This window comes from Homo sapiens, chromosome 10 (genome assembly GCF_000001405.40).
Source record: "Homo sapiens chromosome 10, GRCh38.p14 Primary Assembly".
Classification (NCBI taxonomy): domain Eukaryota; kingdom Metazoa; phylum Chordata; class Mammalia; order Primates; family Hominidae; genus Homo; species Homo sapiens.
This window is the reverse complement of record NC_000010.11, coordinates 114,523,593-114,545,998: the sequence shown is the minus strand read 5'-3', so window position 1 is coordinate 114,545,998 and position 22,406 is coordinate 114,523,593. Positions and strand designations below refer to the sequence as shown.

Genomic DNA, 22,406 nt, shown 5'->3' with positions numbered 1-22,406 from the left:
GGAATGAATGCTGAGCCCACATCTGACGGGCTCAGTGTTCTTGTTTTTTTTTTTTGTTTTTTTTTTTTGAGATGGGGTCTTGTGCTGTCACCCAGGCTGGAATGCAATGGTGCGATCTTGGCTCACTGAAACCTCCACCTCCTGGGTTCAAGCAATTCTCCTGCCTCAGCCTTCTGGGTAGCTGGGACTTACAGCTACACCTCACCACACCTGGCTAATTTTTGTATTTTTTTTAAAGTAGAAACAGGGCTTCCCCATGTTGGCCAGACTGGTCTCAAACTCCTGACCTCAGTTGATCCACCCACCTCAGCCTCCCAAAGTGCTGGGACTACAGGCATGAGCCACCGTGCCGGGCCTCAGTGTCATATTAATAACTATATGTATTATATACATTAACAATATTTTATAGCTTTGCCTTTATTGTGGTTTTAATGAAATTGTCGCTAGTGTTTTGCCTTCAGGTGTGATATTGCCTATTGATTTGCCAGTATCTTCTTCAGGTTCATTAACACCATTCTTTCTCTGGTTTATTAATTATTGTTATGTGGGCTCAGTGGGCTCAGTACTCCTACGTGCCCAGGGGGCCTGTGGAGAGAGAATGCTGCCAGGCTTTCTGCTAGTTAGCTCTGAGACAGTAAAAAATCGGCAAGGGTGACCATATGGCGACATGGCTGTTTCGCCTGTGTGGCACCGAGAGCCGCAGAGTGCTCTCTGGATCGTTTTGTTTGTGGTTTTGATCCTGTCTGGCCAGGTCTGACTGGATTGCCAGGCATGTGAACACTGGGCAGGGGAGAAATATGTCCTGCCCTTCTGTGGAAAGGCCTTGGAGAAATGTGGTTTTGGTGTCTTCTCCAGCCCCTGGCCACCTCCTCAGGAGCCGAACACGTTTTTGTCTTGCAGGGATGGTGCTCCGTACTGTGAAAAGGACTACCAGGGACTCTTTGGGGTGAAATGTGAGGCGTGTCACCAGTTTATCACAGGGAAAGTCCTGGAGGTAAGTGGCAGACCGGCTCCCTCATAGCTACCGCCATCTTTCTCAGCGGCCCTCAGAAACAAACAAGAGGGGACCCTTTCCCACCTCCTCCATCTTTTTTTCACCTGTGGAGAAAGAAAGTAGTCGCAGGTGACTATTTTCAAGAATTAAGGTGCTGCACTCTCCTCAAAGGCTCACGTGGAAATTAGAATGATGGAGAATTTGCACAGGAAAAAAAAAAGAATGATAAAGGTTCTGGTAGGAGTTATGTAGGACAGGCTATATTAGACCATTTTCATTTTTAGAAGTTAGACAAGAGTAAATGAAAAGGGTGTGAAATCATGTGTGTATACATCCATGTGTGCATGTGTGCATATGTCTATGCATGCATCTGTGGGCGTGTGCAGATTCAGGGAGCAGAGGCTCAGAATGGAAGCTAAGAAAGGAAGGGTGGGGGAAAGGTAGAGGCATTGGCTTCCCCAAACTTCAAAAACCACATCCTGTGTGACCCAGAGCACCCTGTGGCCGGGGCTGAGCTGAAGCCTGTCAAGTTCAGGTGCAACCGCCTCCAGCTAGGGAGCTTTCTTCCTGCTTTCTCAGCAGCCGCCACACAGGCTTCTGCCTCTGGGCTGAGCCAGTTCCTCTGGGGTGAGACACAGAATTCTGGGGCCAGAGTTCAGAAGGAGTCGCTACCCTACTTCTCCCAGGCCTGTGGGGTGTCAGCCAGGTCCAAGGAAGAAGTAAGACTGCCTCATCTGTGGCCCACCTGCCAGCGTGGAGAGTATGGCCCAAGCAGAGGTGGGTCAGGAAGCCCCACAACTAGGGGGATGACTACAGGTGCTGCAGCTTGTCATCTTGCTTTGTCAAGGACCAGGCTGCTAAATCCACGGAGCCATGTTCCACCTTCCCAGCAGGGCACGTTTCAGAGACACAGACACAGATCTGAGGCCCCCCTCCCCGCCACCATGGTGTTTCTGGGCTGTGCTGTCTCTTCCGTGGGGTTTCACAGCAAAGGCCCAGTGTAGCCCCCTAAATCCCACTGTAAACCCTTTCCATGAAGCACAGAGGGGCCAGCATTGGATGTGTGCTGGGACGTGGGCAGCTGATTGCATTTGGGAGAGAAGGGTGTGGTTGTGGTCAAATGCAGTTGCCTCTTAGCCCGAGGAAGAGGGTTCTGGGAAGAGGGAGCAATACCTGCAGAGGCTCAGAGGTGAGGAAAAGCACAGGATACATAAGAAACGTCAGTTGGGCACCGATGTGACAGATGATGCTGGAGAAGTGGGCAGGGTCCCAAGAGTCATATTCTGGAGTTTGGGTGTTACCCTAAAAGCGGTAGGAAGCCATTGAACTGCTTGTAGCTGGAGTGTCATGTGATTAGACCAGGTTGTTGTGTAAAGAACGTATGAGAGTTCTCAAATCTATGTACGCACGCGTTCACAGCAGCCCTATTCACATCAGCCGAAAGGTAGAAACAACCCAATGTCCATCAGCAGGTGAATGGATAACAACATGTGGTGTATCCAACTAGTGGAATATTATCCAGCCTTGAAGCAGTGCTGCCAACCACAGGATGAGCCTTTAAGTAAAAGAAACCAGCCACAAAAAGCCACATATTGTATGATGCCATTTATATAAAATATCTAGAATAGGTAAATCCATACAGATAGAAAGCAGATTGGTAGTTGCCAAAGGCTGGGGGAAGGGGAAATAGGAAATTACTGCTTTATGGATACAGGATTTCCTTTTGGGGTGATGAAAATATTTTGGAATTAGAGGAGGTGGTTGCATAGCATTGTGAATGAATGTACTAAGTGCCACTGAATTGTTCACTTTAAAATGTTTAATTTTATAGTACGTGCATTTCAGCTCAGATGTTTTTTAAATGGCTGGGAAGGGAGTTGGGGTGGAGACAGGCCAGCTAGGAGGCTACTACAGAACTTTGGGCACAAAATGATGGTGGTGCTAGCTGGAGTGGAGCCTGAGAAATGGGCCCCCACCCTCCGCACACACAGGAAGGGTGGAAAGAGTTCTCTCATAGCCTTTCCAATAAAGCTTTAATTATTGACCCAAGGACACTTCAAAACTAGTGTCTTGACCAGGGAGAAAGAAGCATATCCCCAGGAAGGCTGTTGGAGAAGGTGGATGGGACCCACCTGATGGGGAGCTTGGAGTCCGAGCGGTCCCATCACAGCGCTCAGAGTGTGATGCACAGGAGGTTGGTGCCTCCCCTCCTGGCCCTGAGTCCATCCCTCATCCCTCCCCAGAGAGCTCTTCTCAGAAGTGCCCTGATTGGGGCCTGACGCCATTTCCCTTGGGATTCCTGAGTTTGATCTCTTGTGGAGGACTGAAATAAACCTGTTGAGTTGGGGCAACTTGGAAATTTCCTTCTCCTCCTCCTTCTTCTTTCTCTTTCTTTTTTCTTCTTCTTCCTCCTTCCTCCTCCTCCTCGTCCTCCTCCCTTCTCTTCCCTCCTCCTCCCTTCTCCCTCCTCCTTCTTCCTTTCTTCCTTCTAATTTCTTCTTTCTTCCTTCTTCTTTCATCTTTCTTCCTTCTTCATCATCATCTTCTTCTTTTCTTTTTTTTTTTTCTTTTTTCTTTCTTTCTTTTTTTTTTTTAGAGACAAGGTTTTGCTCTGTTGCCCAGGCTGGAGTGCAGTGGTACAATCATACCTCACTGCAACTTTGAACTCCTGGGCTCAAGCTATCTTTCTGCACAGCCCCCTGAGTAGCTGGGACTACAGGTGCATGCCATCACACCCAACTGATTTTGTTATTTTTTGTAAAGAACGGGAGTCTCACTCTATTGTCCAGGCTGGTCTCTAACTCCTGGCCTCAGGCAATCCTCCTGCCTCAGCCTCCCAAAGTGCTGAGATTACAGGCATGAGCAACCAAGCCTGGCCCTCATAAAAAGAAACAATAGAACATCAGAATGATTTCCCAGATGTCCAGCTGTACAAAGAGAGACGAGAAAATACTGAACGTGGTCCCCACATTTGTGACAGCCGTGTTTGCAGTCTTCTTAGTCCACATGTGGAGCTGTGTTCCCCCAAAACATGCTGGGGAGGGAAAAGGGCTCTGTGTGTGTGTGTGTCTGAGTGTGTGAGTGTGTGTGTGTGTGTGTGTGTGTTGATTCCCTTCAGATTTAGCTCAACAGCTGTGGGGAAGAAAATCTAAAATAAAGCTAGATCCAAGAACATGCCATTTGGAAGAAACATGTGCTTACTCTGTTTTCTGCTTCAAGACCTGAGTCATTTGGCATTCACTGTGGCTGCAGAGACCTCTTCTCAAATTGGCTTCAGGTTTCTGTGAAGGCCGTTTTGTGAGGCCTAAGACTTGGAGACTTTCCATGCGGGGCTTTCAGAGTTGAGGCGTCTGGGAGTAGTTTGCACCATGTTCAGCCTCCACCCAGCAGACGTAGTCCTTAGATGGGCGTGTGAGCTAGAAAAACGTCCTGCAGGGTTATCACACTGACGTGTGACAGCTTGTGAGTCGGTTTGGCTTGGTTACCAACACAAAGCAGGACGGTCTCCACACACTCCTCCCTCGGCCTCTCATGCTTGGGTCTTGGTGGTGGTGAAATATTGTGATGGTGGATTTGTTGTAAATACTGTGAACCTTGGGGTTTTGTGGGTTTTTTATATTTATTTTATCCACAGATGAATTTATTTTATCCCTTTACAAATGTATTAGTTTTCTGTGTCAGCTGTAGCAGTGGTGGCTTAAAGCAACAAGCTTAAACAGTTCTTGAGGTTCTTGAGGTTAGTTCTTAAACTGAGTTCTGTCAGTTCTTGAGGTTAGACGTCTGAAAGCAAGGTGCAGGCAAGGCAATGCTGTCTCTGAAGGCTCTAGTGAAGGGCCTTTCCTCGCCTCTCCCAGTTTCCGATGGCTCTGTGTGTTGCTTGACTTGTGGCAGCCTCCCAATCTCTGGCTTTGTCTTCACATCGCCTTTTGCGTGTTGTCTCCTTTTCTCTGTTACAGTTCCCTCTGCCTCTTTCCTGTAAAGCCACTTGTCATTGGATTCAGGGCCCACCCAGATAATCCAAGATGACCTCACCATCTCAAGATCCTTTGCTTAATTACATCTGCAAAGACTCTTCTCCCAAATAAGCTAGCATTCACAGGTTCCAGGGAATTGATAGGGAGTCTCTTTTGGTGATGATCGGGTCACCATTCAAGCTGCTTGAGTAAGCCTGGGAAATCATGCACGTATCATCCCAGCGAGGCCTGCAGACCCTGTGTGGTTTTAATTTAACACTCACTGAGCCCTAAGAGGACCCTAAGGCCTCTCTAGGTGTGGTGTCACCAGAGATGCCACCAGACACCTGAGGGACCTTTGAGAAAGAGAAAGGTCACTGGACAATGATAGAGAAGAGACGCTCCAGGTCTGGCTGTGTCACTCATTCCTGAGTGACTTGGGGCAGGTTGTTCAGCCTCTTGGGGCTGTCTTCATTTCCCAGGTAAAGGGACTAGCATGTAACCTCCAGCAGCCCTCGAGTTCTCTCTGTCTCTGTCATTCCTTAATCCTTGTAAGCCCTGAAAATCACATCAGCTTGAACGGGTGGGGAGACGGGCCCGAGCACCAGCGGCTCAGTTGAAAAGGCTCTGGGTGGCAGCCAATCTGAATCTGTACTCACCAGCTGGGGCCCCTTGGGCAAGGCTTGCCACTTCTTTGAGCCTCAGTTTTCTTTTCTTTAAGTGCAAGAATTGAAAATATACGTGTAATTCCAAGACTTGGGCTGCTAGACCTCCCGGAGTCCCTTCGGCTCTAAGGATCTGAGTTCTAGAATTCTCATGTCTTGGCTGTAAGGGATCAGACAGAACCAATGGTTCTTTTTTTCTGGAAACCAGCACGTAACACTCAGCATAGAGCATACACTCAAATTGTAGCTTGATTTCTCATCACTTGTTTTCAGTTTTGTTTTCGACAGCAAGATTCTCTTTTTAGGGGGATCTTGCTATAAATGGTACATCTTCAAATGCTTCTGCTGATTAACTTATAAATTTAGGAGAGTTCTGAAGATATTTACAACCTGCCTCCTAATTAAGAAGTGCAGGGGCAAATTAGTGTGAGATACTCCAGTTTGCTCTCTCCGTCTTTTCTCCAAACTTCTCCCGCTTCCTTCTCCCCTCCTCCTCCCCCTTCCCCTGCCCCCACCTTCTTTCTGCCTAACAGCCTAATGGTAACAGGAAGCTGGAAGAGACTTCAGACCTAGGTCACTAATGTCATGGGGGAGTGGGGCATCTCTTTGGAATGCATTTCTTCCCATCTTTGGTAGATAGCCCTAGGACAGCTCTCACTCCAGCAGACATCCTTTCCAGGGTACAGGTGGTTACCTGCTAGCCTCATAAAGAAAAGAAACAGCAACAAAATGGTTGTTATTATCAACAGCAACAGCTAGTTTCAAAATGAAGGCAGCTCATGGTGGGTGTAATCAAGTAAGGACTCCCAAATTTATAAGGGGGTTAGTCTCATATCTCCAACCCTAAATTTAAGTAAGACAGCAACTGAGTTTCTTGGTCTCTGTTTACAAAGGTATAACCATCTCTAGGCACATAGCTAAAAGTAGATTGTTTTTGATGGTGCTTTCTTAAGATATGGAATCTTCTCTGGAACACCACACTCTTAATGTAATACTTCCTATACCTCTTTTTTGTTGTTGTTGTTGTTTGAGACAGAGTCTTGCTTTGTTGCCCAGGCTGGAGTGCAGTGGTATGATCTCAGCTCACTGCACCCCCCACCTCCTGGGTTCAAGTGATTCGCCTGTCTCACCCTCCTAAGTAGCTGGTATTACAGGTGCACGCCACCATGCCCAGTTAATTTTTGTATTTTTAGTAGAGATGGGGTTTCACCACGTTGGCCAGGCTGGTCCTGAACTCCTGACCTCAGGTGATCTGCCCGCCTTGGCCTCCCAAAGTGCTGGGATTATAGGCGTGAGCCACTGCGCCCAGCCCCATACCTCTTTGGATTAGATAGAGGTTGAATCTATTCTTGACAAGTGTTTGGAAAAAAAAGCAAAAGTCAAACTGAAAACAGAAGCCTGGAGGGTAAAGGAAAAGGTTTTGTCCCATGTGTTCTTCCCCTAGTCTTGGGCTGTTTTACCAACAGACTAAGGAAGGGTGGGCTTGACTTTCTCTTGGCCTCTCAAGCTGTCTTATGCAATTCCTATGCCCCCAGGGGCTACCTGTGTGCATGGAGCACTGCACTGGTTCACTCAGGACAAAGGCGCTCGGCCCTCGTCCCACACTGCAGAGTGGTACTTCCCTGAGCAGGCACCTGCCAGGCTGCACGGGAGCATTCTTTTGTTCTCCTCCCTGAAAGGAAAGTTGTCTTATGTGCATTCTGACCACAGAGGGAGAGGGCGGGGCTCTGAGTCCCACGATTTCCCTTTCCTCACATCACCGCACCCAGAAATCAGTTGGCCTGGGTTCATCTAGTCTTTCTGGGCGGGCTGGTGGCACCTGTCCTTGTGTCTCGTGGTATTTACTGTGCTACCTGTGCTCTCTGGGAACGTGCAGTGATGTCTGTGACAGCCTGTACACCCACCACATAAGAAAGAGCCTCAGATGGAGCCGAGGGAAGTCCTCTAGACCCTGGAATGCCTGTCCATTCTGCCCTACGAGGCCACCCTCCCCTGTCTTTATCTGTTAACTTGGAAAGGGTGGACAGCAGGACAGGATTTAGACTCGCTTTTAGACCCCTCCTGCTGAACTCCTGGGGTGAAGGAAATGGAATCACAATGGGATTCAGCCAAATCCTTTTCCTTGGCTCTCAGAGGAATTAAAAACTGGTGGCTCTGTTTTGTTTTGCTTTTGGACTGATTAAAAAACTGCTTTTTCACAAAGCTGAGGGGCAAATGTTTATGATGTTTCTGAGGTGAATTCACATTATAAATTGGAGGCCTTTGTCCCCTTCCTTCTTTTTGGCATAGGTATTTTAAGTATGTTATGTGGCAGTAATCATAAGCAGTGAGTAGGTCTTGTTCTGGGCTAAGCTATTCTCTAGTGAGCAAAACATAGGTTATCCTAGGATGCTTGCATGACATCTAATCTTTTTGTCACCATCAGAGATGTAATTTGCAAAAGAGAAGCTGACATGTCAATTCCCCTTTTCTTGTTCTGTGTATATCATACACTTGCAAGGAACAAATAATAACCCGTGTCCATGCTGAAGGCTAATTGCATTCTTCTCATTCTCACTGTGCTCAGAGGAATTCATGCTTTCATCCAATTAATTAATTGTAGACCCAAATATTTTTGAGGATCATGTTATCTGATCCTGTTATCTGAGTATATTGGTTGAGATGGTCTGTCCCAGTGGACAGTAAGCCACCACTGTATCCTGACTTTGTATAATATTTTTAACATCTGCAAGTGATCTCATAAACATTTAATTCTCACCACAGGCCTGCAAGCTGGTCAGGGCAGTTAGTTACTAGTCACCTTCATTTACAGATGAGGCTACTGAGTGCCCGAGACTCTGGATCTAATTGGTGTGACAGAACCATGATTAGAAAATAGATCTCTTAGGTTGGTGAATGGATACAAACATGCAGTTAGAACAAAGAAGTTCAATGTTCAGTAGCAGACTAGGGTGACTACAGTTAACCAGCAATATACTGTATATTTCAAAGTAGCTGGGAGACAGAGATGATAAATACTGAAGGTGATAAATACTCCAGATACCCTGACTTGAGCATTATACATTATATGCATGTAAAAAAATACTCATATGAACCCCATAAATATGTAAAATATTATGTATCAATAAAAGAAAAAATAAGGAAAATAGGTCTCTTTCAATTCTCAGAAGATAGGGACATACACACATAGAGACAGAGAGAGAGAGTGAGCCTGAACTTTATTATCTACCTGACAATAATCATTACAGAAAACAAATAATTTGCCCCTTGATATAACTTGCTGAAGGACCAAAAGTTACCATTCCTGGTGGATGGTAAAGGCCTGTCTCAGTGTCCCTTTTATACCTATTCTCAGGACAATAAACATGTACTGCTTGGTTGGTTTACTTTTTACCAGTGTAAAATGTCACTGAAAATCAGTGACTTTGCTCATAGAGTCTGCTGTGTTTCTGTGCCTCATAGTCTGGCCTCCTTGAAGCATCTGTAGCCTCCACCAGGCCACCTGGCTCTGCCCTTAGAGAATGTTGTAGATGGATGATGCTGTCTCAAGTTTGAGAGCATATTTTCTTCATGAAGCTCTGGTCTCGGACTCTGCAGCTCAATGGACAGTCAGGAAGGCCCTGTGAAACAGGGTCAGTATTGAGACACTGGTCACCTTGTGTATTGTCAGACCATCACTTGACAATAAACTGGAGAAATTGCTTCATTTTAAATATGAATTAAGCAAAAGGTGGTATATCTAGAAAACGGAATATTATTCAGCCATAAAAAGGAACAAAGTTCTGATATATACTACAACTTCGAGGAACCTTGAAAACGTTATGTGAACAAAAAGTCAGGGCCAGGTGCGGTGGCTCACGCCTGTAATCCCAGCACTTTGGGAGGCCAAGGTGGGCAGATCACCTGAGGTCGGGAGTTCGAGACCAGCCTGGCCAGGATGGTGAAACCCCGTCTCTACTAAAAATACAAAAATTAGCTGGGCGTGGTGGCAGTTACCTGTAATCCCAGCTACTCAGGAAGCTGAGGCATGAGAATCACTTGAACCCAGGAGGCAGAGGTTGCAGTGAGCTGAGATCATGCCATTGCACTCCAGCCTGGGCGACAAGAGTGAGACTCCATCTCAAAAAAAAAAAAAAAAAAAAAAAAAAAAAAAAAAAAACAAAGAAAGAAGGAAAAAGACAGTCACAAAAGACCATAATTGTCCAATACCATTTGTATGAAATGTGTGGAATAGGCAAATCCACAGAGACAGGCAGTAAGTTAGAGAATGCCAGGGGCTGGGGGAAGGGGGAAATAACGAATGACTGCTAATGGGTATGGGGTTTCTTTTTGGAGTAATGAAATGTTCTAGAATTAGACAGTGGTGACGGCTGCACAACTCAATGAGTATAGTCATCCCTCAGTATATGCAGGGGATTGGTTCCAGGACCACCATCCCCCTGGTAAATCTGTCAGACTTAAGTCCCAAAGTCAGTCCTGAGGAACTGACTTATAGGAAAAGTCAACCCTCTGTGTACAGAGGTTTTGCATCCCTTGAATGCTGTATTTTCAATCCACGTTTGGCTAAAAGAAAGGGAACCATGTGATTCAAACCCACGCTGTTCAAGGGTCAACTGTATACTAAAAATTACTGAATTATATACTTTAAAAGGGTGAATTGTATGGTATGTGATTTATCTCTCAATTTCACATACACACATCTACCTATCTAGCTATCTATGCAAGAATGGCCATTCAAGTCAATAAACATCTTAATGCAAGATTCTATGCTAGGCTTGGCCAGGCACGGTGGCTCATGCCTGTAATCTCAGCACTTTGGGAGGCCGAGGTGGGAGATCACCTGAGGTCAGGAGTTCAAGACAAGCCTGGCCAACATGGCGAAACCCCATCTCTACTAAAAGTACAAAAATTAGCCGGGCATGGTGGCTTAAGTCTGTAATCCCAGCTACTCAGGAGGCTGAGGCAGGAGGATCGCTTGAACCTGGGAGGCAGAGGCTGCGGTGAGCCAAGATCATGCAACTGCACTCCAGCCTGGGCAACAGAGCAAGACAACATCTCAGGGAGAAAAAAAAAAGATTCTATTCTAGGCTCTTTCCCTCTGTGGGAGCCTAAATTTTGTTTTTTTGTGTGGCGAGAGGTTACCACTGCACAGGACATGGCCTTGATTGTAGAGTGTAGCTTAGTGAATGTAAAACCTCTCCAGTGCTGGGAAAGTCGACTCAAGTTGAAATCCAATGTATGGTTTGTGATGAGTTGGTTTTGCAACACTTTACTGGAGAAGAACAACCTGGTACTAATATTTTGTCCCCTTCATGGCTATCAGGTTGGGAATTGACCCAGTAGGGCAGAGCACATTGATTGAATGAATGATTTGAGGAAAATCTATCTGATTCACCTGAAGCTGGCCACTTTCTCTTACTTTCACAACAGGAGGAAATGTGTTGTGCCAGGGCACCAGCAGACTGCATTCCCATGCAGTAAAGATTTAATATTTATGGAAAAATCACCCCATTTCCTGTCAGCACAAATGGAAGGGCTTTCTTATCTGGAAATAACAGTTTGAAAAGAATTTCTATTTATCTTGAGTTAAAAGGATGTTTTGTTTTTTTCAGCATTATTTAACTTCAGAGAGTTTGGCTGAAATGTGTAAGCAGGGGAGTAACTGACCCGGCAGGTCAAGTGAGACTCTTCCAGGAAGTCAACCAGGATTATTGAGCATGTGCTAGGAGCCCCACATGCGGCGGGGTGGCGGCGGCGGGTGGGTCACAAAATAAAATGTAAGATTTAGGACTTGTTCTCAGAGAGATAAGGCATGCGTCTTTAAAAGTCATGGAGTATCCAAGCTGAAAACCTCCTGGAGTGTCCCAGGAACCCCCCACCCCCACCCCGCCTCAGGGATCATGAGTGCCCAGGGCCGTTGCAGCTTCTTCAGAGACCCAGGGCATATGGCAGTTGAGAAATGGCTGGGATTCAATAGCAGAGAGACACAGCCTGCCTAGACAAGTTACCACCAAGTGCAGTAAGGGATATAGTTCCTGGACTGGCCACTATTCTGGGCACCAAAATGATGTCCCCAGAGTAGTCCTTTCTCCTCTCCAGAACCCAGCACATCAGGGCATCAGAAGGACTCCTGCATCTGCTTTCTCAGGGACCCAGAGCAGCACCCTTCCCCTTCCTGCTGTTCCCTCCCAGCTCCCATCCCTGGCTCTGCTTACCTCTTCTTTTACCACTATAGACATAAAAGGGGTGATCATGCCCCTTCTTCTAAATGATTGATTCCAGGGTGCCCCACCTACCCGACAGAGGTGATCTTCAATGAATTCCACGGGAATTTTCATGACCTTCTCTTGGGGGAGCAGAAAAAGAGTTTAATCTTTGGTGGTGTCTCTCAGTGCACAAGGTAATCCAGGGCCAGATGTGGTAGCTCATGCTTGTAATCCCAGCACTTTGGGAGGCCAAAGCAGGAGGATCACTTGAGAACAAGAGTTCAGGACTAGCCTAGGCAACACAGTAAGACCTCACTTCTACTAAAAATTTAAAAACTTAGCTGGATGTGTTGGTGAGGGTCTATAGTCCCAGCTATTTGGGAGGCTGAAGCAGGGGGACTGCTAGAGCCCAGGTGTTCGAAGCTGCAATGCTGCAGTGAGCTATGATCACACGCCACTGCACTCCAGCCTGGGGGACAGAGCAAGACTCTGTCTCAAAACAACAACAACAACAACAAAAACACGATAATTTTGGACCCACAGTATTAAATGGCCAAGTAATGGGCATACACAGTAAATGTCCTGAGTTCAAGAGAGATTTTTGGTGATTACTAAAAAGAAGTCAACTTTGGTTCTTAAGGAATGGGTAGTCAAGGTGAGAAATTTATCTTTGTTTGCTATTGTTACTGATGGCTTTGTTCACTTTTTGCCAACCTTGTTTCTTTGATTTTAAGCATGTGATTTGATTGTACTGTTTGATTTAATTGCAAGATTATAATAATATGTCCTTTTCTATTCCAAACCAGTAGTCAGCTTATAAATTTTATTTTATTTTTTTTTGAGACAGAGTCTCCCTCCATTGCCCAGGCTGGAGTGCAGTGGCACTATCTTGGCTCAGTGCAACCTCCACCTCCCAGGTTCAAGCAATTCTCCTGCTTCAGCCTCCCAAATAGCTGGGATTACAGGCGCGTACCACCACCCCTGGCTAATTTTTGTGTTTTTTACTAGAGATGGGATTTCACCATGTTGGTCAGGCTGGTCTTGAACTCCTGACCTCAAATGATCCACCCACCTCAGCCACCCAAAGTGCTGGGATAACAGGCGTGAGCCACTGCACCTGGCCAGTTTAAAAATTTTTTAAAAATATTTTCTACTACAGGCTAATTTTAGCTTAATCATGAGGGAAACAGAATTTTTTGGGTTCACTCAGACCTAATCTCCATTTGAAAGACTGACCCTACTAATCCACTTGTATCTGCTGACCTAGCTGACGGTGGTGGAGAAACAGACAAGTGGGTCTCTACACCCAAGCCAGCCTGACTCCTGGAATCTGGGTTGTGCCTCTGCTGGGCATTGCAACTACCTCCAGCAATCTTCTTTAGCTTTTGGGTTCATAATAAGTCACACCAAAGATGGCATCTCAAGCTACCTTGGCTCGATTTTGTCCTTGTGATTCCACACGCTTGGCCTCTCCATGAATGTTTAACTTGGAGGGGTCTATGTTGAAAAATGGTACCATCCAAAGGTCAGCAGAATAATTTCTCTTCCGGGCACAGTATTACCAGGCTAAGGATATGAAATTTTCCCCAGGGCCCAGGAGATGGCATGTGCTTCAGGGAAAATGGGAGCATTTTGTTCCTTTGGATCCAGTGATGCTGCGCTGAGGGGTCTGCCACCATGGACAGGCTGCCTCCTCGTCTGTTTCACACCTGAATGTGCTTGCTTCCTGGACCTCGTGGCTTCCCGCCTTGGGGAGGATATGATGCCAATTCCAGCAGATGGACTTGCTTGTAGTTTGCCAGCTAGTCAAGTGGAGGGAGTTAGGGCTGGTGCCCATCCAGCCCAGCGGAAATGAACTGGTACAGAAATTCCTCCCAAAAAGGGAAAGTTTGGAGTGGCCTTGCAAATGAAAACTCTTCATGAACTATGTTAATGGCTCCATAGCAAAACACAAAGCTGCAGGCACCTTGGAAACAGGGATAGAGTTTGGAATTTTGGAGCTTGATGTGGCCTGGATAGGTAAGGTGGAAGGGAGAGAAGAGTGGTTAGCAGAAAGAACTGATACAGGCCAGGTGCCGTGGCTCATGCTTGTGATCCCAGCACTTTGTGAGGCCAAAGTGAGCAGATCACTTGAGGCCAGGAGTTCGAGACGAGCCTGGCCAACATCATGAAACCCCGTATCTACTAAAAATACAAAAATTAGCTGGGCATGATGGTATGCACCTGTAATCCTAGCTACTCAGGAGGCTGAGACACGAGAATTGCTGGAACCCAGGAGGTGGAGGTTGCAGTGAGCTGAGATGGCACCACTGCATAGACACACCAGGACTTGATCCCAGAAGCCACACTTAAAGCTAAATAATCTGGTGGAGGGCGGTGGCTCACGCCTGTAATCCCAGCACTTTGGGAGGCCGAGGCAGGCAGATCACGAGGTCAGGAGATCGAGACCATCCTGGCCAACATGGTGAAACCCCGTCTCTACTAAAAATACAAAAATTAGCTGGGTGTGGTGGCATGTGCCTGTAATCCCAGCTACTCGGGAGGCTGAGGCAAGAGAATCACTTGAACCAGGGAGTTGGAGGTTGCAGTGAGCTGAGATCGCATCACTGCACTCCAGCCTGGGCAACAGAGCAAGACTCTGTCTCAAACAACACAAAACAAAACAAAACAAAAAAGAAGCTGAGTAATTCTCAGCAAGTTGCTTACATGTTGAGTCCCGGCACCTGAAGCTGGGATAGGTCTTGACCCTTCTCATCTGAAAACTCACAAATTTGGATATTTGCTCAGTAAATCTGAAGATGTCCCATCCTCTTATTATTACGATGTGGGCAATGATACTTACCTTGTACAGGCTTCAAACAGATAGTAAGAGTCATCTGAGACAGTGCCTCACATACCGGGCCTCAAGAAATATTTTTTCCATTTTCTTCATTTATAAAACACAGATTTTGTAAAAGCCCAATATTTGGAATGAACTTACAGCTTCCTGTTTGAATGAAGGAGTCAGGCTCACCCATCTCTGTTTACTCTCTGATGTAGTTATATGGGATTATTTCAGATACACAAGTTAACAGTCATGTTGATGCTTGGGTTTGAAAATTTCTTAAATCGCTTAACTTTAGACATTCACACACATTTATGCCCATAAATTCAATCTACCATTGTTTCATGGTGTATTTTTAATTACTTTTTTACCAGGCATCTGAAAACTGCTCAATAAAGGTGTGTGGATAAATGATTATTTTTCCCGTGGTGAATTTTTGCCATGTCCTTTAACCAAAAATGTTAAAGACTTCACATACTCTTTAGGCCTAAACTTCTCATCCCTTTACTAAATACCTATTTCTGGCTGGGTGTGGTGGCTCACGCCTATAATCCCAGCACTTTGGGAGGCTGAGGTGGGCATATCACCTAAGTTCAGAAGTTTGAGAGCAGCCTGGCCAATAAGGCAAAACCCCGTCTCTACTAAAAATACAAAAGTTAGCCGGCTATGGTGGCGGATGCCTGTAATCCCAGCTACTTGGGAGGCTGAGGCACGAGAATTGCTTGAACCCAGGAGGTGAAGGTTGCAGTAAGCCGAGATCACCCTACTGCACTCCAGCCTAGATGACAGAGTGAGACTGTGTCTCAAAATAAATAAATAAATAAATAAATATTTATTTCACTCACATATGAAATAAAGGCCCAAGTGATTTTTTTCTGTTAATGTTTCTTTTATTGCATCTAGCTGGATATAATCTGTTTAAGTATAAACTCCTGGAGGATTTGTGCTGTCTGTTTAACTGCTCTGTATACTACCCAGCACATTTACCCAGACTGGGCCTTCATCAGTATTTAGTATGACGGTGAAGAGGTCTCTTAACTTCTCTGGACTGCCAAAGTGTGGCTTTTATATCAGCTCCTTGAACCTGAGCCTTAGCACTGAGTCCCTTTGGAACAGATTTTAGCCAACAACACCTGTGATTAGTAGCAGCTTTGTTGAGGCTTTATTACATACCAGAAAATTCACCCATGTTAAGTATATGATTCAATGACCTTTAGTAAATTTACAGAGTTGTGCAACCATCATCACAATCCTACTTTAGAACATTTCCATCACTTCAAACACATCCCTCTGCCCACCCTTTGATTATTTTTAAAAATATTATTTTTTGAGATGGGGTTTCACTCTTGGCATCCACAATGGAGTGCAATGGCACGATCTCAGATCACTGCAACCTCTGCCTCCCGGGTTCAAGGGATTCTCCTGCCTCAGCCTCCCAAGTAGCTGGGATTACAGGTGCATGCAACCATGCCTGGCTAATTTTTGTATTTTTAGTAGAGACAGGGTTTCACCATATTGGCAAGGCTGGTCTTGAACTCCTGACCTCAGGTGATCCACCCGCCTCAGCCTCCCAAAGTGCTGGAAATACAGGTGTGAGCCACCACGCCCAGCCCACCTTCGGGTTATTTCCTCTTCACGTTCTTTCCCCAAATCGTGTGCATGCATGTGCACAGGAGGCATGCCAATGGGAAAGGTGGCTCAGGTTGCTCACCAAGGGCTGCCCAACTAGGGAGGTGACTTGAACCTCTTGACTCCACACGGCGTTCTTCACTCTTTTCATCTGGAAACTCACGAATTTGGAAATTTGCTCAGTAAATCTGAAGATGACCCATCCTCTTTGACCCCATCCCAGAAGACATAGAGATGCTTAAATAAATAAAATCCAAAAAGAGAAACTGATCATCCAAATATAGGAGAGTAGAAAGAGGATGAAGAGGCCGGGCGCAGTGGCTCACACCTGTAATCCCGGCACTTTGGGAGGTTGAGGCAGGCGATCATGAGTTCAAGAGATCGAGACCATCCTGGCCACCACGGTGAAACCCCATCTCTACTAAAAATACAGAAATTAGCTGGGCATGGTGGCATGTGCCTGTAGTCCCAGCTACTTGGGAGGCTGAGGCAGGAGAATCGCTTGAACCCGGGAGGCAGAGGTTGCAGTGAGCCAGTATCGCACCACTGCACTCCAGCCTTGCGACAGAATGAGACTCTGTCTCAAAAAAAAAAAAAAAAAGAGGATGAAGACTCGTGGGTAGTGAGCCTAATTCTGACGCTCAAGTTACTTCTTGCCATGTGACTAGAAGCCTGGGTAAGTGTCCCATTTTACCTTTGTAAAGGGGGACACCTTCACTCCTCTGACAGACATTGCATGCTAATATCTTAAACATGAGGTGAGGTGCAGGGGTTACAGAGGTAAAAGGTACCATCCTTAACCCCAAATGGTCTTACCATCTAAGGCTGAGGTTCTAAAACCACTATGCCTAACAATCACCTGCATATCTTGTTTGAAGTGTGGATTCCCAGCACAACATGGTGCCTATCATTAACAATACTGTATTGTGCACTTAAAAATTGAAGACAGTACATCTCATGTTGTGTTCTTACCACAATAAAAATGAAGTTATTCATGCTTTTAAAAAATAATGAAGTATGGATTCTCAGGCCTCACCCCAGACATTCTGATTCAGGAGGCCTGGGAATCTGCATGTGAACATGCAGCCCTGCCCTGGGTGATTCTGGTACAGGGAAGTCCACAGATGCCACTTTGAGGATCTGGCCCTATAAGGGTGTGGTGAGGACACATTGATGGAGGTTTCTGACTCCTCAGAAGAAAAATGCACTAGAAATTTAGTGAGACCCCTGTCATTATTATGATGTATAAGCCAATAGTCTCCTCTTCATTTTAGAAGCACGGCTTTGTTGCTAAAACCTTACATTTTCTCAGCACTGCTTGGGACTTCTTCCAAACCAGCTTAGAGAGATTCCACATGTCTATATAAAAGGGTCTTTTCATTTCCTGATCTTTGTGGGCAAATAATCTCCCTAAAAAATTTCGTAAATCATCCTAGTCTTCTTAAAAATGACAAACGTGGCAGGGCAGGGTGGCTCACACCTATAATTGCAGCACTTTGGGAGGCTGAGGCAGGAGGATCACTTGAGGTGAGGAATTCAAGACCAGCCTGGGCAACATAGTGAGATCCTGTCTCCACAAAAAATTTAAAAATTGCCGGGCGCAGTGGCTCACGCCTGTAATCCCAGCACTTTGGGAGGCTGAGGCGGGCGGATCACAAGGTCAAGAGATCGAGACCATCCTGGCCAATGTGGTGAAACCCCATCTCTACTAAAAATACAAAAATTAGCTGGGTGTGGTGGTGCATACCTGTAGTCCCAGCTACTCAGGAGGCTGAGGCAGGAGAATTGCTTGAAACTGGGAGGCGGAGGTTACAGTGAGCCAAGATCACGCCACTGCACTCTAGCGTGGGCAACAGAGCGAGACTCCGTCTCAAAAAAAAAAAAAAACTTTAAAAATTAGCCAGGCATGGTGGCTCACACCTGTAATCCCAGCTACTCAGGAGGCTGAGGTGGGACAATCGCTTGGACCCAGGAGTTGGAGGTTGCAGTGAGCTGATTGCGCTATGATCGTGCCACTGCACTCTAGCATGGGTGACAGAGATCCCATCTCAAAAAAAAAAAAAAAAAAGACAAGAGTTGTTACAGAAATCTTTCCATCATCCTAAGAAAGAGTACATTAAAAGGGCTGTGCCATCACTGGAGAAACTTCCAGTTCCTCCTCTCTGTTCACATGCATAGAGAGCCTGCAGCTTCCCCTCAGTCACTGGCTCACCTGAGATTTCTGCAGGGATGGTTTCGTTGAAAATGAGGCTGTGTGTATAAAATGCCTGCAACATAGCCAGTAGCTAGCCAGTAATTTTCTGCTACAATTAAAAACACACAATACAAAATGTACCAAAAATATGAATCAAGAAAGCTTGATAAGAGGTTTTCCAATCATATTTGTCTCAGACAGTACTGCAGAATAATATGGAAATTCTGAAGTAACAAAAGGGAATAAAAAGTTGAACTCAGTTTTGTTATACTTTTGCATAAGGGGTTCCTTACATGTACCTCAAAAGCAGGGACTTGCGAGGAGGCTGCAGGCTGTGTGATGGCTGTGCTCAGCTAGGCACCTTTCCATCATCTCAAATCCGAGAAAGAAACTCAAAAAGCCTAAGAATCTCGTTTCAGTACAAGCTTATGCCTCAGGGACAATCACTGTCGGTTTCACATGCAGACAATAGTGAGTGAATGCAAAGAAATGGTACTTTCCTACCTGCATTTAAAAAAAGAAAGAAAGTAAATCTACTCCCCCTCCTTTTTTGGGAACATGGACTGGCCCATTGTGGTTGCTGGTGTGTTGAACTAGTAAGTAAAGCGAGGAGAGGAGGCGTGAGAGAGCGTGCCTGCCCGCCGCACACGGGGCTGGTTTCCGGAGTGCGTCTCTAGAGGGATGCACGTTGCCTTAGCCGAGCTTCGGAGAGAAGCCTGATATGTAACCCAGGCAGGTGGGAGCCTCAGTCTGTCGGGCTGAGGTCTGGCATCTACAAAGCCTCTTGGCCGTGTTCTGAACTTGAAGCCTGGAGGAGTTCTCTGCTCAGCACAGCCAAGGAACAGAATTAGAAGAAAAGGAACCCTGGCCTGAGGTAAAGCGGACATTGCACAAGGTGACCTATGTCCTTTGCTTTGCGTGGCAGATGTGAGATTTCTGGCTTCCTTCGTGAGGTCGGAGGCCGCTCGGATCCTCCAAATGTGGTGGCTGGATGCTGGCGACAGAAGTCACTTTTATTGCCCTGACATACATTTATGTAAACTTTTTGTTTTCCTGATGATACAAAAGAAACGACAGGAGCTTTTGTTCATCGATACAGAACTAGACTGAAGGGCAGGAAAGGCTGGTTATTTATTTCACTGAGAAGTGTAGTGCGTTGACCTTTTAAACAAGGCTTATGTTTTTTTAGGCTGCTACCCGCAAGATTGAAAGGAGACTGTGGTTTTCAGACTTTGGGGTTGTTTTGTTTTGTCTGTGGTTTGTAGAGCTCTGTGAAATTTACATTTGAGTCCTGTTTGGGGGATTTGGTGGTGGAAGTGGCACGTGGGAATGAGTAGATTTAGCTATTACTGTAAATTATGAGATTTTTTTTTCTTTAAGAAATACCCAATAAATGAAAATAAGGAAACAAAATGTTTAGATGTTATTCATGTTTTATTGCGGCTCTAGGTTGAAAGAGCTTGACAATTGCCTCTCTTTCCACCTTTGATATGCAGTAAAAGAAATCTAGAGATTCTGGCCTTTATATTGAAAATAGTTTTCCTAAAAACCCAGTTATTAATCGAATCATACTGTAAAGACTTTTTTTGGGGGGAAAGTGTTTTAAAATGTGCTATACTAGCATGAAAGAAGAAATGGGACCAGAAAGTTATTTCATCTGTGAAAAAAATAGATTTATGATGTTGGAAAAGAAAAAAAGAAAACGTGAGTTTGGCCATAAGCCAGCAGGAGTGTGGTCGCTATAGCAGCTTCATTTGTCACTTAGCTGAGATTGGAGACTTAAAAGAAAACTGAGCCTGTTTTTCTCTCAGACAGCCTCATAAGGAATGTTAAGAGGATGTGAAGTTATTTAGATTACCAAAACAGGTTCTGACAAGTAAGTGAAAATAACTCATTAAAATATAATTGTTGCCATTCTATAAATGGATCAAAAGGCTTGTTGAGTCACTGCGTACTTATAGAATAGGTGAATTTGCCACGGCTCATTGGTATAAATTACTTTTGAGAAGGCTTTTTAAGACTAAGCGTGAGGCCTTGCCAAGCATCCCTTATAACACTTAGAATGTTTTGACCAATGTTTTCGAGGCGGTTGCCTAAGCATTTTCATGTGTCAGTGAGTCTAATCCTCGCATCAGTGGCTTATCCAGTAAGCTCAGGGAATATTATATCCTGACAACAGAAGCCTGCAGATTTTTCTCTTCAACTAAACAATAGCTCACCTAAAAGGACAGAAAGTGAACTACTCAGTTCTTGTAACCTGACTTTCTGGAGGGATGGTCATGATTTTGGCTCCTGTAGAACAGGGTTTCTCAACCTCAGCATTATTGACATTTTGGATGGGATTATAGTTTGTTGCAGGGGACTGTCTATGGGATGTCTAGTAGCATCCTTGATCTCTACACACCAGGCGACAGTAGCACTCCCTCCCCAGCTGTGAGAACCAGAGATATCTTCAGACACTGTTAAATATTCCCTGTGGGCAAAATGCCCCTGGTTGGGAATCACTGCTAGAGGGAAACCTGTCTTGGGGCCTACTGCTGCCAACGAGGGGGAAGGGTCTATGAGAGGAGGCTGGAGTCCCAGGGAGGCCTGGCGGGGTCCAAGGAACAGTGGCAGGACAGGTGTTTTTGCCTGACCATTTGGTTTTTATTTTGTTTGGGTTTTGTCTGAAATCACATCTTGGGAATGGGGTATCAGATTCAAGGACTTGCTGCGGATATACATTCTTCTGCCCCCTTTTCCTTCTGTGCCCTTGTGGGACTTATTTTATACAGTGCTATGATTGGTATAGTAGTCAAACTTCTTTCAATTGAATTCTAAAGTGCATTCTGGGGATATACTATTTTGTCTTTTTTTAAAAAGAAGCTTATACAGTGATCCATTTTATAAAGCAAATAGTTACCCATACTTTTCCCTTCTGTAAATATAGAGTTTTTTGTTGTTGTTGTTGTTTGTTTGTTTGTAATGTGGGTTTTTAGTAAATCTGGCCATGCCTGTTAGTTTTTTTTTCTTCTAGAATCTGCAAGTGAATGCTTTCATTTCTTTTTTCTTTTCGCCATCTGTACCAGTGGGTCTCAAACTGTTTTGATTTTTTTAGGAATTGGGCCTTGTTTTGTGAGTGCAATTGAAGAATCACAGCTTTTTTCCAATTTACAGATAACGATGAAGTCAATGGCTGGGATTTTTTCCGTTTAAAATTTTTCTTACACCTTTAGCATTAATGCTACTGCTTGTTTGCTCTCAAAGGTTTACAGATTACAAAATGCATGAAGCTGCGAGTGCTGCTTTTTCTTGGTGTTTCTCCAAGAATATAGTACATTGCACTGAGCACCGTGACTTCCAGGAGCTACCACCACCACCCAAACCAGATGAGATGTACCACTGCATAGTGCTTAGTGGTGCTTAGCATTGGCTGAACAGATAGGGAAACACCTTGACTTATTGAAGTCTATTCTTGGTGACAGACCTGGACTGGCCCATAATGTTATCAGAGAGCTGTGGTTTCTGCTTTTGATTGCAAAGCAAATCTTGCATTTCTCTCCACCTGGAGGTACCAATGTGACACACACCATGTGCTCTCTAAGTAACAGTTCTTCGTAATTAAAATTCACCCTCTCCCCCCATTCAGTAGACCAAAGATCCCTGAGTGCAGCAAATGTGAGCATTTTAGGTCTATTTGCCCCCAGGATATAGCACAGTGCCTGCTCATACTATTTGCTCAGTCATTGATGAACAGACAAATGAATGTCAATGATTTCTATGGAAAGACCACCCAGGAGCTTGGTCAGCAAGCCACATGTCTGCAGCCTGTGTCCATATTTCTGTAATTTTTTAAAGAGGACAAATCCAGTCACCATCTAAGCAGGTTTTAATGTCTGAGGGGCTACCAGAAAACTCTTTGAAGGATGCAGGAAGAGTGGGTCTGTGGGTTGTAGAATTTG

General features: G+C 45.2%; 1 protein-coding gene across 56 annotated transcripts in view, besides 5 other annotated features; it reads left to right on the top strand.

Annotated features, from left to right (window-relative positions):
• Positions 1 to 22,406, top strand: part of ABLIM1 (actin binding LIM protein 1) — a 370,264-nt gene that overhangs the window by 255,375 nt on the left and 92,483 nt on the right. For 40 of the 56 annotated variants that reach the window (XM_047425242.1, XM_047425238.1, XM_047425237.1 and 37 more), the window contains 1 exon segment: positions 901 to 994. In XM_047425242.1, coding sequence (XP_047281198.1) covers positions 901 to 994 — 94 coding nt within the window. 56 annotated transcript variants of the gene reach the window in all.
• Positions 1,686 to 1,795: an enhancer, noted in NCBI's record as "active region_4088". NCBI's record gives its function as "activates an Ori minimal core promoter by ATAC-STARR-seq in GM12878 lymphoblastoid cells {active_cell/tissue: GM12878}" and the evidence as "EXISTENCE:reporter gene assay evidence [ECO:0000049][PMID:35858748]".
• Positions 4,267 to 4,446: an enhancer, noted in NCBI's record as "active region_4087". NCBI's record gives its function as "activates an Ori minimal core promoter by ATAC-STARR-seq in GM12878 lymphoblastoid cells {active_cell/tissue: GM12878}" and the evidence as "EXISTENCE:reporter gene assay evidence [ECO:0000049][PMID:35858748]".
• Positions 4,797 to 4,846: an enhancer, noted in NCBI's record as "active region_4086". NCBI's record gives its function as "activates an Ori minimal core promoter by ATAC-STARR-seq in GM12878 lymphoblastoid cells {active_cell/tissue: GM12878}" and the evidence as "EXISTENCE:reporter gene assay evidence [ECO:0000049][PMID:35858748]".
• Positions 18,851 to 19,080: an enhancer, noted in NCBI's record as "active region_4085". NCBI's record gives its function as "activates an Ori minimal core promoter by ATAC-STARR-seq in GM12878 lymphoblastoid cells {active_cell/tissue: GM12878}" and the evidence as "EXISTENCE:reporter gene assay evidence [ECO:0000049][PMID:35858748]".
• Positions 19,251 to 19,370: an enhancer, noted in NCBI's record as "active region_4084". NCBI's record gives its function as "activates an Ori minimal core promoter by ATAC-STARR-seq in GM12878 lymphoblastoid cells {active_cell/tissue: GM12878}" and the evidence as "EXISTENCE:reporter gene assay evidence [ECO:0000049][PMID:35858748]".